The 14828-nt window shown below is 39.2% G+C and overlaps 1 annotated feature.

Annotated features, from left to right (window-relative positions):
* Positions 1-14828: part of a centromere (Linear centromere model derived predominantly from reads generated in PMID: 17803354. This region does not represent an actual centromere sequence, as long-range ordering of repeats and unmapped WGS contigs is not provided by the model. For details of model production, see http://arxiv.org/abs/1307.0035.) that runs on past both edges of the window.

Consider the following 14828-nt stretch of genomic DNA (forward strand, 5'->3'; position numbering starts at 1 on the left):
AACTAGACAGAATGATTCTCAGAAACTTCTTTGTGATGTGTGCGCTCAACTCACAGAGTTTAACCTTTCTTTTCATAGAGCAGTTAGGAAACACTCTGTTTGTAAAGTCTGCAAGTGGATATTCAGACCTCTTTGAGGCCTTCGTAGGAAACGGGATTTCTTCATATTATGCTAGACAGAAGAATTCTCAGTAACTTCCTTGTGTTGTGTGTATTCAACTCACAGAGTTGAACGATCCTTTACACAGAGCAGACTTGAAACACTCTTTTTCTGGAATTTGCAAGTGGAGATTTCAGCCGCTTTGAGGTCAATGGTAGAATAGGAAATATCTTCCCATAGAAACTAGACAGAGTGATTCTCAGAAACTCCTTTGTGATGTCTGCGTTCAACTCACAGAGTTTAACCTTTCTTTTCGTAGAGCAGTTAGGAAACACTCTGTTTGTAAAGTCTGCAAGTGGATATTCAGACCTCCTTGAGGCCTTCGTTGGAAACGGGATTTCTTCATATTCTGCTATACAGAAGAATTCTCAGAATCTTCCTTGTGTTGTTTGTATTCAACTCACAGAGTTGAACTTTCATTTACACAGAGCAGATTTGAAACACTCTTTTTGTGGAATTTGCAAATGGAGATTTCAAGCGCTTTGAGGCCAAAGGCAGAAAAGGAAATATCTTCGTATAAAAACTAGACAGAATCATTCTCAGAAACTGCTGCGTGATGTGTGCGTTCAACTCTCAGAGTTTAACTTCTCTTTTCATTCAGCGGTTTGGAAACACTCTGTTTGTAAAGTCTGCACGTGGAAATTTTGACCACTTAGAGGCCTTCGTTGGAAACGGGTTTTTTTCATTTAAGGCTAGACAGAAGAATTCCCAGTAACTTCCTTGTGTTGTGTGCATTCAACTCACAGACTTGAACGTTCCCTTAGACAGAGCAGATTTGAAACACTCTATTTGTGCAATTTGCAAGTGTAGATTTCAAGCGCTTTCAGGTCAATGGCAGAAAAGGAAATATCTTCGTTTCAAAACTAGACAGAATCATTCCCACAAACAGCGTTGTGATGTGTTCATTCAACTCACAGAGTTTAACCTTTCTTTTCATAGAGCAGTTAGGAAACAGTCTGTTTGTAAATTCTGTAAGTGGATATTCTGACATCTTGTGGCCTTCGTTGGAAACGGGATTTCTTCATATTCTGCTAGACAGAAGAATTCTCAGTAACTTCCTTGTGTTGTGTGAATTCAACTCACAGAGTTGAACGATCCTTTACACAGAGCAGACTTGAAACACTCTTTTTGTGGAATTTGCAAGTGGAGATTTCAGCCGCTTTGAGGTCAATGGTAGAAAAGGAAACTATCTTCATATAAAGACTAGACAGAATGATTCTCAGAAACTCCTTTGTGATGTGTGCGTTCAACTCACAGAATTTAACCTTTCTTTTCATAGAGCAGTTAGGAAACACTCTGTTTGTAAAGTCTGCAAGTGGATATTCAGACCTCTTTGAGGCCTTCGTTGGAAACGGGTTTTTTTCATATAAGGCTAGACAGAATCATTCTCAGAAACTGCTCTGCGATGTGTGCGTTCAACTCTCAGAGTTTAACTTTTCTTTTCATTCAGCAGTTTGGAAACACTCTGTTTGTAAAGTCTGCACGTGGATAATTTGACCACTTAGAGGCCTTCGTTGGAAACGGGTTGTTTTCATGTAAGGCTAGACAGAAGAATTCCCAGTAACTTACCTTGTGTTGTGTACATTCAACTCACAGAGTTGAACGTTCCCTTAGACAGAGCAGATTTGAAACACTTTTTTTGTGCAATTGGCAAATGGAGATTTCAAGCGCTTTAAGGTCAATGGCAGAAAAGGAAATATCTTCGTTTCAAAACTAGACAGAATCATTCCCACAAACTGCGTTGTGATGTGTTCGTTCAACTCACAGAGTTTAACCTTTCTGTTCATAGAGCAGTTAGGAAACACTCTGTTTGTAAAGTCTGCAAGTGGATATTCTGACATCTTGTGGCCTTCGTTGGAAACGGGATTTCTTCATCTTCTGCTAGACAGAAGAATTCTCAGTAACTTCCTTGTGTTGTGTGTATTCAACTCACAGAGTTGAACGATCCTTTACACAGAGCGCACTTGAAACACTCGTTTTGTGGAATTTGCAAGTGGAGATTTCAGCCGTGTTGAGGTAAATGGTAGAAAAGGAAATATCTTCGTATAAAAACTAGACAGAATGATTCTCAGAAACTCCTTTGTGATGTGTGCGTTCAACTCACAGAGTTTAACCTTTCTTTTCATAGAGCAGTTAGGAAACACTCTGTTTGTAAAGTCTGCAAGTGGATATTCAGACCTCCTTGAGGCCTTCGTTGGAAACGGGATTTCTTCATATTCTGCTATACAGAAGAATTCTCAGAAACTTCCTTGTGTTGTGTGTATTCAACTCACAGAGTTGAACGATCGTTTACACACAGCAGACTTGAGACACTCTTTTTGTGGAAATTGTAAGTGGAGATTTCAGCCGCTTTGAGGTCAATGGTAGAAAAGGAAATATCTTCATATAAAAACTAGACAGAATCATTCTCAGAAACTGCTGTGTGATGTGTGCGTTCAACTCTCAGAGTTTAACTTTTCTTTTCATTCAGCGGTTTGGAAACACTCTGTTTGTAAAGTCTGCACGTGGATATTTTGACCACTTAGAGGCCTTCGTTGGAAACGGGTTTTTTTCATGTAAGGCTAGACAGAAGAATTCCCAGTAACTTCCTTGTGTTGTGTGCATTCAACTCACAGAGTTGAACGTTCCCTTAGACAGAGCAGATTTGAAACACTCTATTTGTGAATTTGCAAGTGTAGATTTCAAGCGCTTTAAGGTCAAAGGCAGAAAAGGAAATATCTTCGTTTCAAAACTAGACAGAATTATTCCCACAAACTGCGTTGTGATGTGTTCGTTCAACTCACAGAGTTTAACCTTTCTGTTCATAGAGCAGTTAGGAAACACTCTGTTTGTAAAGTCTATAAGTGGATATTCTGACATCTTGTGGCCTTCGTTGGAAACGCGATTTCTTCATATTCTGTTAGACAGAAGAATTCTCAGAATCTTCCTTGTGTTGTGTGTATTCAACTCACACAGTTGAACGATGGTTTACACAGAGCAGATTTGAAACACTATTTTTGTGGAATTTGCAAGTGGAGATTTCAGCCGCTTTGAGGTCAATGGTAGAAAAGGAAATATCTTCGTATAAAAACTAGAGAGAATGATTCTCAGAAACTCCTTTGTGATGTGTGTGTTCAACTCACAGAGTTTAACCTTTCTTTTCATAGAGCAGTTAGTAAACACTCTGTTTATAAAGTCTGCAAGTGGATATTCAGACCCCTTTGAGGCCTTCGTTGGAAATGGGATTGCTTCATATTATGCTAGACAGAAGAATTCTCAGTAACTTCCTTGTGTTGTGTGTATTCAACTGACAGAGTTGAACTTTCATTTGGAGAGAGCAGATTTGAAACACTGTTTTTGTGGAATTTGCAAGTGGAAATTTCAAGCGCTTTGGGGTCAAAGGCAGAAAAGGAAATATCTTCGTATAAAAACTAGACAGAATCATTCTCAGAAACTGCTGCGTGATGTGTGCGTTCAACTCTCAGAGTTTAACTTTTCTTTTCATTCAGCGGTTTGGAAACACTCTGTTTGTAAAGTCTGCACGTGGATATTTTGACCACTTAGAGGCCTTCGTTGGAAACGGGTTTTTTTTCATGTAAGGCTAGACAGAAGAATTCCCAGTAACTTCCTTGTGTTGTGTGCATTCAACTCACAGAGTTGAACGTTCCCTTAGACAGAGCAGATTTGAAACACTCTAGTTGTGCAATTTGCAAGTGTAGATTTCAAGCGCTTTAAGGTCAATGGCAGAAAAGGAAATATCTTCGTTTCAAAACTAGACAGAATCATTCCCACAAACTGCGTTGTGATGTGTTCGTTCAACTCACAGAGTTTAACCTTTCCGTTCATAGAGCAGTTAGGAAACACTCTGTTTGTAAAGTCTGTAAGTGGATATTCTGACATCTTGTGGCCTTCGTTGGAAACGGGATTTCTTCATATTCTGCTAGACAGAAGAATTCTCAGTAACTTCCTTGTGTTGTGTGTATTCAGCTCACAGAGTTGAACGATCCTTTACACCGAGCAGACTTGAAACACTCTTTTTGTGGAATTTGCAAGTGGTGATTTCAGCCGCTTTGAGGTCAATGGTAGAAAAGGAAACTATTTTCGTATAAAGACTAGACAGAATGATTCTCAGAAACTCCTTTGTGATGTGTGCGTTCAACTCACAGAAGTTTAACCTTTCTTTTCATAGAGCAGTTATGAAACACTCTGTTTGTAAAGTCTGCAAGTGGATATTCAGACCTCTTTGAGGCCTTCGTTGGAAACGGGTTTTTTTCATATAAGGCTAGACAGAAGAATTCTCAGTAACTTCCTTGTGTTGTGTGTATTCAACTGACAGAGTTGAACTTTCATTTAGAGAGAGCAGATTTGAAACACTGTTTTTGTGGAATTTGCAAGTGGAGATTTCAAGCGATTTGGGGCCAAAGGCAGAAAAGGAAATATCTTCGTATAAAAACTAGACAGAATCATTCTCAGAAACTGCTGCGTGATGTGTGCGTTCAACTCTCAGAGTTTAACTTTTCTTTTCATTCAGCGGTTTGGAAACACTCTGTTTGTAAAGACTGCACGTGGATATTTTGACCACTTAGAGGCCTTCGTTGGAAACGGGATTTTTTCATGTAAGGCTAGACAGAAGAATTCCCAGTAACTTCCTTGTGTTGTGTGCATTCAACTCACAGAGTTGAACGTTCCCTTAGACAGAGCAGATTTGAAACACTCTATTTGTCCAATTTGCAAGTGTAGATTTCAAGCGCTTTAAGGTCAACGGCAGAAAAGGAAATATCTTCGTTTCAAAACTAGACAGAATCATTCCCACAAACTGCGTTGTGATGTGTTCGTTCAACCCACAGAGTTTAACCTTTCTGTTCATAGAGCAGTTAGGAAACACACTGTTTGTAAAGTATGAAAGTGGATATTCTGACATCTTGTGGCCTTCGTTGGAAACGGGATTTCTTCATATTCTGCTAGACAGAAGAATTCTCAGTAACTTCCTTGTGTTGTGTGTATTCAACTCACAGAATTGAACGATCCTTTACACAGAGCAGACTTGAAACACTCTTTTTGTGGAATTTGCAAGTGGAGATTTCAGCCGCTTTGAGGTCAATGGTAGAAAAGGAAATATCTTCGTATAGAAACAAGACAGAATGATTCTCAGAAACTTCATTGTGATGTGTGCGTTCAACTCACAGAGTTTAACCTTTCTTTTCATAGAGCAGTTAGGAAACACTCTGTTTGTAAACTCTGCAAGTCGATATTCACACCTCTTTGAGGCCTTCGTTGGAAACGGGATTTCTTCATACTGTGCTAGACAGAAGAATTCCCAGTAACTTCCTTGTGTTGTGTGTGTTCAACTCACAGAGTTGAACTTTCATTTACCCAGAGCAGATTTGAAACACTTTTTTTGTGGAATTTGCAAGTGGAGATTTCAAGCGCTTTGAGGCCAAAGGCAGAAAAGGAAATATCTTCGTTTCAAAACTAGACAGAATCATTCTCAGAAACTGCTGCGTGATGTGTGCGTTCAACTCTCAGAGATTAACTTTTCTTTTCATTCAGCGGTTTGGAAACACTCTGTTTGTAAAGTCTGCACGTGGATATTTTGACCACTTAGAGGCCTTCGTTGGAAACGGGTTTTTTTCATGTAAGGCTAGACAGAAGAATTCCCAGTAACTTCCTTGTGTTGTGTGCATTCAACTCACAGAGCTGAACGTTCCCTTAGACAGAGCAGATTTGAAACACTCTATTTGTGCAATTTGCAAGTGTAGATTTCAAGCGCTTTAAGGTCAACGGCAGAAAAGGAAATATCTTCGTTTCAAAACCAGACAGAATCATTCCCACAAACTGCGTTGTGATGTGTGCGTTCAACTCACAGAGTTCAACTTTTCTTTTCATAGAGCAGTTAGGAAACACTCTGTTTGTAAAGTCTGCAAGTGGATATTCAGACCTATTTGAGGCCTTCGTTGGAAACGGGATTTCTTCATATTCTGCTAGACAGAATAATTCTCAGTAACTTCCTTGTGTTGTGTGTATTCAACTCACAGAGTTGAATGATCCTTTACAGAGAGCAGACTTGAAACATTCTTTTTGTGGAATTTGCAAGTGGAGATTTCAGCCGCTTTGAGGTCAATGGTAGAAAAGGAAATATCTTCGTATAAAGACTAGACAGAATGATTCTCAGAAACTCCTTTGTGATGTGTGCGTTCAACTCACAGAGTTTAACTTTTCTTTTCATAGAGCAGTTAGGAAACACTCTGTTTGTAAAGTCTGCAAGTGGATATTCAGACCTCTTTGAGGCCTTCGTTGGAAATGGGATTTCTTCGTATTCTGCTAGACAGAAGAATTCTCAGTAACTTCCTTGTGTTGTGTGTATTCAACTGACAGAGTTGAACTTTCATTTAGAGAGAGCAGATTTGAAACACTGTTTTTGTGGAATTTGCAAGTGGAGATTTCAAGCGCTTTTGGGCCAAAGGCCGAAAAGGAAATATCTTCGTATAAAAACTAGACAGAATCATTCTCAGAAACTGTGGCGTGATGTGTGCGTTCAACTCTCAGAGTTTAACTTTTCTTTTCATTCAGCGGTTTGGAAACACTCTATTTGTAAAGTCTGCCCGTGGATATTTTGACCACTTAGAGGCCTTCGTTGGAAACGGGTTTTTTTCATGTAAGGCTAGACAGAAGAATTCCCAGTAACTTCCTTGTGTTGTGTGCATTCAACTTGCAGAGTTGAACGTTCCCTTAGACAGAGCAGATTTGAAACACTCTATTTGTGCAATTTGCAAGTGTAGATTTCAAGCGCTTTAAGGTCAATGGCAGAAAAGGAAATATCTTCGTTTCAAAACTAGACAGAAATCATTCCCACAAACTGCGTTGTGATGTGTTCGTTCAACTCACAGGAGTTTAACCTTTCTTTTCATAGAGCAGTTAGGAAACAGTCTGTTTGTCAATTCTGTAAGTGGATATTCTGACATCTTGTGGCCTTCGTTGGAAACGGGATTTCTTCATATTTGGCTAGACAGAAATAATTCTCAGTAACTTCCTTGTGTTGTGTGTATTCAACTCACAGAGTTGAAGGATCCTTTACAGAGAGCAGGCTTGAAACACTCTTTTTGTCGAATTTGCAAGTGGAGATTTCAGCCGCTTTGAGGTCAATGGTAGAATAGGAAATATCTTCTTATAGAAACTAGACAGAATGATTCTCAGAAACTCCTTTGAGATGTGTGTGTTCAACTCACAGTTTAACCTTTCTTTTCATAGAGCAGTTAGGAATCACTCTGTTTGTAAAGTCTGCAAGTGGATATTCAGACCTCTTTGAGGCCTTCGTTGGAAACGGGTTTTTTTCATATAAGGCTAGACAGAAGAATTCTCAGTAACTTCCTTGTGTTGTGTGTATTCAACTGACAGGGTTGAACTTTCATTTAGAGAGAGCAGATTTGAAACACTGTTTTTGTGGAATTTGCAAGTGGAGATTTCAAGCGCTTTGGGGCCAAAGGCAGAAAAGGAAATATCTTCGTATAAAAACTAGACAGAATCATTCTCAGAAACTGCTGCGTGATGTGTGCGTTCAACTCTCAGAGTTTAACTTTTCTTTTCATTCAGCGGTTTGGAAACACTCTGTTTGTAAAGTCTGCACGTGGAAATTTTGACCACTTAGAGGCCTTCGTTGGAAACGGGTTTTTTTCATGTAAGGCTAGACAGAAGAATTCCCAGTAACTTCCTTGTGTTGTGTGCATTCAACTCACAGAGTTGAACGTTCCCTTAGACAGAGCAGATTTGAAACACTCTATTTGTGCAATTTGCAAGTGTAGATTTCAAGCGCTTTAAGGTCAATGACAGAAAAGGAAATATCTTCGTTTCAAAACTAGACAGAATCATTCCCACAAACTGCGTTGTGATGTGTTCGTTCAACTCACAGAGTTTTACCTTTCTGTTCATAGAGCAGTTAGGAAACACTCTGTTTGTAAAGTCTGCAAGTGGATATTCAGACCTCCTTGAGACCTTCGTTGGAAACGGGATTTCTTCATATTCTGCTAGACAGAAGAATTCTCAGTAACTTCCTTGTGTTGTGAGTATTCAACTCACAGAGTTGAACGATCCTTTACACAGAGCAGACTTGAAACACTCTTTTTGTGGAATTTGCAAGAGGAGATTTCAGCCGCTTTGAGGTCAATGGTAGAAAAGGAAATATCTTCGTATAAAGACTAGACAGAATGATTCTCAGAAACTCCTTTGTGATGTGTGCGTTCAACTCACAGAGTTCAACCTTTCTTTTCATAGAGCAGTTGGGAAACACTCTGTTTGTAATGTCTGCAAGTGGATATTCAGACTTCCTTGAGGCCTTCGTTGGAAGCGGGATTTCTTCAAATTCTGCTAGACAGAATAATTCTCAGTAACTTCCTTGTGTTGTGTGTATTCAACTCACAGATTTGAACGATCCTTTACACAGAGCAGACTTGAAACATTCTTTTTGTGGAATTTGCAAGTGGAGATTTCAGCCGCTTTGAGGTCAATGGTAGAATAGGAAATATCTTCCTATAGAAACTAGACAGAATCATTCTCGGAAACTGCTCTGTGATGTGTGCGTTCAAGTCTCAGAGTTTAACTTTTCTTTTCATTCAGCAGTTTGGAAACACTCTGTTTGTAAAGTCTGCACGTGGATATTTTGACCACTTAAAGGCCTTCGTTGGAAACGTGTTTTTTTCCTGTAAGGCTAGACAGAAGAATTCCCAGTAACTTCCTTGTGTTGTGTACATTCAACTCACAGAGTTGAACGTTCCCTTAGACAGAGCAGATTTGAAACACTCTTTTTGTGCAATTGGCAAGTGGTGATTTCAGCCGCTTTGTGGTCAATGGTATAAAAGGAAATATCTTCGTATAAAAACTAGACAGAATCATTCTCAGAAACTGCTCTGCGATGTGTGCGTTCAACTCTCAGAGTTTAACTTTTCTTTTCATTCAGCAGTTTGGAAACACTCTGTTTCTAAAGTCTGCACGTGGATAACTTGACCACTTAGAGGCCTTCTTTGGAAACGGGTTTTTTTCCTGTAAGGCTAGACAGAAGAATTCCCAGTAACTTCCTTGTGTTGTGTACATTCAACTCACAGAGTTGAACCGTTCCCTTAGACAGAGCAGATTTGAAACACTCTTTTTGTGCAATTGGCAAGTGCTGATTTCAGCCGCTTTGAAGTCAATGGTAGAAAAGGAAATATCTTCGTATAAAAACTAGACAGAATGATTCTCAGAAACTTCATTGTGATGTGTGCCGTTCAACTCACAGAGTTTAACCTTTCTTTTCATAGAGCAGTTAGGAAACACTCTGTTTGTAAACTCTGCAAGTGGATATTCAGACCTCTTTGAGGCCTTCGTTGGAAACGGGATTTCTTCATACTGTGCTAGACAGAAGAATTCTCAGTAACTTCATTGTGTTGTGTGTATTCAACTCACAGATTTCAACGATCCTTTACACAGAGCAGACTTGAAATACTCTTTTTATGGAATTTGCAAGTGGAGATTTCAGCCGCTTTGAGGTCAATGTAGAATAGGAAATATCTTCCTATAGAAATTAGACAGAATCATTCTCAGAAACTGCTGCGTGATGTGTGCGTTCAACTCTCAGAGTTTAACTTTTCTTTTCATTCAGCGGTTTGGAAACACTCTGTTTGTAAAGTCTGCACGTGGATATTTTGACCACTTAGAAGCCTTCGTTGGAAACGGGTTTTTTTCATGTAAGGCTAGACAGAAGAATTCCCAGTAACTTCCTTGGGTTGTGTACATTCAACTCACAGAGTTGAACGTTCCCTTAGACAGAGCAGATTTGAAACACTCTTTTTGTGCAATTGGCAAGTGGAGATTTCAAGCGCTTTAAGGTCAATGGCAGAAAAGGAAATATCTTCGTTTCAAAACTAGACAGAATCATTCCCACAAACTGTGTTGTGATGTGTTCGTTCAACTCACAGAGTTTAACCTTTCTTTTCATAGAGCAGTTAGGAAACACTCTGTTGGTAAATTCTGTAAGTGGATATTCTGACATCTTGTGGCCTTCGTTGGAAACGGGATTTCTTCATATTCTGCTACACAGAAGAATTCTCAGTAACTTCCTTGTGTTGTGTGTATTCAACTCACAGAGTTGAACGATCCTTTACACAGAGCAGACTTGAAACACTCTTTTTGTGGAATTTGCAAGTGGAGATTTCAGCCGTTTTGAGGTCAATGGTAGAAAAGGAAATATCTTCGTATAAAGACTAGACAGAATGATTCTAAGAAAATCTTTTGTGATGTGTGCGTTCAACTCACAGAGTTTAACTTTTCTTCTCATAGAGCAGTTAGGAAACACTCTGTTTGTAAAGTGTGCAAGTGGATATTCAGACCTCTTTGAGGCCTTCGTTGGAAACGGGATTTCTTCATATTATGCTAGACAGAAGAATTCCCAGTAACTTCCTTGTGTTGTGTGTGTTCAACTCACAGAGTTGAACTTTCATTTACACAGAGCAGATTTGAAACACTCTTTTTGTGGAATTTGCAAATGGAGATTTCAAGCGCTTTGAGGCCAAAGGCAGAAAAGGAAATATCTTCGTTTCAAAACTAGACAGAATCATTCTCAGAAACTGCTCTGCGATGTGTTCGTTCAACTCTCAGAGTTTAACTTTTCTTTTCATTCAGCAGTTTGGAAACACTCTGTTTGTAAAGTCTGCACGTGCATAATTTGACCACTTAGAGGCCTTCGTTGGAAACGGGTTTTTTTTCATGTAAGGCTAGACAGAAGAATTCCCAGTAACTTCCTTGCGTTGTGTACATTCAACTCACAGAGTTGAACGTTCCCTTAGACAGAGCAGATTTGAAACACTCTTTTTGTGCAATTGGCAAGTGGAGATTTCAAGCGCTTTAAGGTCAATGGCAGAAAAGGAAATATCTTCGTTTCAAAACTAGACAGAATCATTCCCAAAAACTGCGTTGTGATGTGTTCGTTCATCTCACAGAGTTTAACCTTTCTTTTCATAGAGCAGTTAGGAAACAGTCTGTTTGTAAATTCTGTAAGTGGATATTCTGACATCTTGTGGCCTTCGTTGGAAACGGGATTTCTTCATATTCTGCTAGACAGAAGAATTCTCAGTAACTTCCTTGTGTTGTGTGTATTCAACTCATAGAGGTGAACGATCCTTTACACAGAACAGACTTGAAACACTCTTTTTGTGGAATTTGCAAGTGGAGATTTCAGCCGCTTTGAGTTCAATGGTTGAATAGGAAATATCTTCCTATAGAAACTAGACAGAATGATTCTCAGAATCTCCTTTGTGATGTGTGCGTTCAACTCACAGAGTTTAACCTTTCTTTTCATAGAGCATTTAGGAAACACTCTGTTTGTAAAGTCTGCAAGTGGATATTCAGACCTCCTTGAGGCCTTCGTTGGAAACGGGATTTCTTCATATTATGCTAGACAGAAGAATTCTCAGTAACTTCCTTTTGTTGTGTGTATTCAACTGACAGAGTTGAACCTTCCCTTAGACAGAGCAGATTTGAAACACTCTTTTTGTGGAGTTTGCAAGTGGAGATTTAAAGCGCTTTGAGGCCAAAGGCAGAAAAGGAAATATCTTCGTATAAAAACTAGACAGAATCATTCTCAGAAACTGCTGCGTGATGTGTGCGTTCAACTCTCAGAGTTTAACTTTTCTTTTCATTCAGCGGTTTGGAAACACTCTGTGTGTAAAGTCTGCACGTGGATATTTTGACCACTTAGAGGCCTTCGTTGGAAACGGGTTTTTTTCATGTAAGGCTAGACAGAAGAATTCCCAGTAACTTCCTTGTGTTGTGTGCATTCAACTCACAGAGTTGAACGTTCCCTTAGACAGAGCAGATTTGAAACACTCTATTTGTGCAATTTGCAAGTGTAGATTTCAAGCGCTTTAAGGTCAACGGCAGAAAAGGAAATATCTTCGTTTCAAAACTAGACAGAATGATTCTCAGAAACTCCTTTGTGATGTGTGCGTTCAACTCACAGAGTTTAACCTTTCTTTTCGTAGAGCAGGTAGGAAACACTCTGTTTGTAAAGTCTGCAAGTGGATATTCAGACCTCTTTGAGGCCTTCGTTGGAAATGGGATTTCTTCATATTCTGCTAGACAGAATAATTCTCAGTAACTTCCTTGTGTTGTGTGTATTCAACTCACAGATTTGAACGATCCTTTACAGAGAGCAGACTTGAAACACTCTTTTTGTCGAATTTGCAAGTGGAGATTTCAGCCGCTTTGAGGTCAATAGTAGAAAAGGAAATATCTTCGTAGAAAAACTAGACAGAATGATTCTCAGAAACTGCTTTGTGATGTGTGCGTTCAACTCACAGAGTTTAACCTTTCTTTTCATAGAGCAGTTGGGAAACACTCTGTTGGTAAAGTCTGCATGTGGATATTCAGACATCCTTGAGGCTTTCGTTGGAAACGGGATTTCTTCATATTCTGCTAGAAAGAAGAATTCTCAGTAACTTCCTTGTGTTGTGTGTGTTCAACTCACAGAGTTGAACTTTCATTTACACAGAGCAGATTGGAAACACTCTTTTTGTGGAATTTGCAAGTGGAGATTTCAAGCGCTTTGAGGCCAAAGGCAGAAAAGGAAATATCTTCGTATAAAAACTAGACAGAGTCATTCTCAGAAACTGCTCTGTGATGTGTGCGTTCAACTGTCATAGTTTAACTTTTCTTTTCATTCAGCAGTTTGGAAACACTCTGTTTGTAAAGTTTGCACGTGGACATTGTGACCACTTAGAGGCCTTTGTTGGAAACGGGTTTTTTTCATGAAAGGCTAGACAGAAGAATTCCCAGTAACTTCCTTGTGTTCTGTGCACTCAACTCACAGAGATGAACGTTCCCTTAGACAGAGCAGATTTGAAACACTCTATTTGTGCAATTTGCAAGTGTAGATTTCAAGCGCTTTAAGGTCAATGGCAGAAAAGGAAATATTTTCGTTTCAAAACTAGACAGAATGATTCTCACAAACTCCTTTGTGATGTGTGCGTTCAACTCACAGAGTTTAACCTTTCTTTTCATAGAGCAGTTAGGAAACACTCTGTTTGTAAAGTCTGCAAGTGGATATTCAGACCTCTTTGAGGCCTTCGTTGGAAACGGGATTTCTTCATATTCTGCTAGACAGAAGAATTCTCAGTAACTTCCTTGTGTTGTGTTTATTCAACTCACAGAGTTGAATGATCCTTTACACAGAGCAGACTTGAAACACTCTTTTTGTGGAATTTGCAAGTGGAGATTTCAGCCGCTTTGAGGTCAATGGTAGAAAAGGAAATATCTTCGTATAAAGACTAGACAGAATGATTCTCAGAAACTCCTTTGTGATGTGTGCGTTCAACTCACAGAGTTTAACCTTTCTTTTCATAGAGCAGTTAAAAACACTCTGTTTGTAAAGTCTGCAAGTGGATATTCAGACCTCTTTGAGGCCTTCATTGGAAACGGGTTTTTTTCATATAAGGCTAGACAGAAGAATTCCCAGTAACTTCCTTGTGTTGTGTGTGTTCAACTCACAGAGTTGAACTTTCATTTACACAGAGCAGATTTGAAACACTCTTTTTGTGGAATTTGCAAATGGAGATTTCAAGCGCTTTGAGGCCAAAGGCAGAAAAGGAAATGTCTTCGTTTCAAAACTAGACAGAATCATTCTCAGAAACTGCTCTGCGATGTGTGCGTTCAACTCTCAGAGTTTAACTTTTCTTTTCATTCAGCAGTTTGGAAACACTCTGTTTGTAAAGTCTGCACGTGGATAACTTGACCAGTTAGAGGCCTTCGTTGGAAACGGGTTTTTTTCCTGTAAGGCTAGACAGAAGAATTCCCAGTAACTTCCTTGTGTTGTGTGCATTCAACTCACAGAGTTGAACGTTCCCTTAGACAGAGCAGATTTGAAACACTCTATTTGTGCAATTTGCAAGTGTAGTTTTCAAGCTCTTTAAGGTCAACGGCAGAAAAGGAAATATCTTCGTTTCAAAACTAGACAGAATCATTCCCACAAACTGCGTTGTGATGTGTTCGTTCAACTAACAGAGTTTAACCTTTCTTTTCATAGAGCAGTTAGGAAACAGTCTGTTTGTCAATTCTGTAAGTGGATATTCTGACATCTTGTGGCCTTCGTTGGAAACGGGATTTCTTCATATTCTACTAGACAGAAGAATTCCCAGTAACTTCCTTGTGTTGTGTGTGTTCAACTCACAGAGTTGAACTTTCATTTACACAGAGCAGATTTGAAACACTCTTTTTGTGGAATTTGCAAATGGAGATTTCAGCCGCGTTGAGGCCAATGGTAGAAAAGGAAATATCTTCGTTTCAAAACTAGACAGAATGATTCTCAGAAACTCCTTTGTGATGTGTGCGTTCAACTCACACAGTTTAACCTTTCTTTTCATAGAGCAGTTAGGAAACACTCTGTTTGTAAAGTCTGCAAGTGGATATTCAGACCTCCTTGAGGCCTTCGTTGGAAACGGGATTTCTTCATATTCTGCTAGAAAGAAAAATTCTCAGAATCTTCCTTGTGTTGTGTGTATTCAACTCACAGAGTTGAACGATCCTTTACACAGAGCAGATTTGAAACACTCTTTTTGTGGAATTTGCAAGTGGAGATTTCAAGCGCTTTGAGGCTAAAGGCAGAAAAGGAAATATCTTCGTATAACAACTAGACAGAATCATTCTCAGAAACTGCTCTGCGATGTGTG

This window comes from Homo sapiens, chromosome 19 (genome assembly GCF_000001405.40).
Source record: "Homo sapiens chromosome 19, GRCh38.p14 Primary Assembly".
Taxonomy (NCBI): Eukaryota; Metazoa; Chordata; class Mammalia; order Primates; family Hominidae; genus Homo; species Homo sapiens.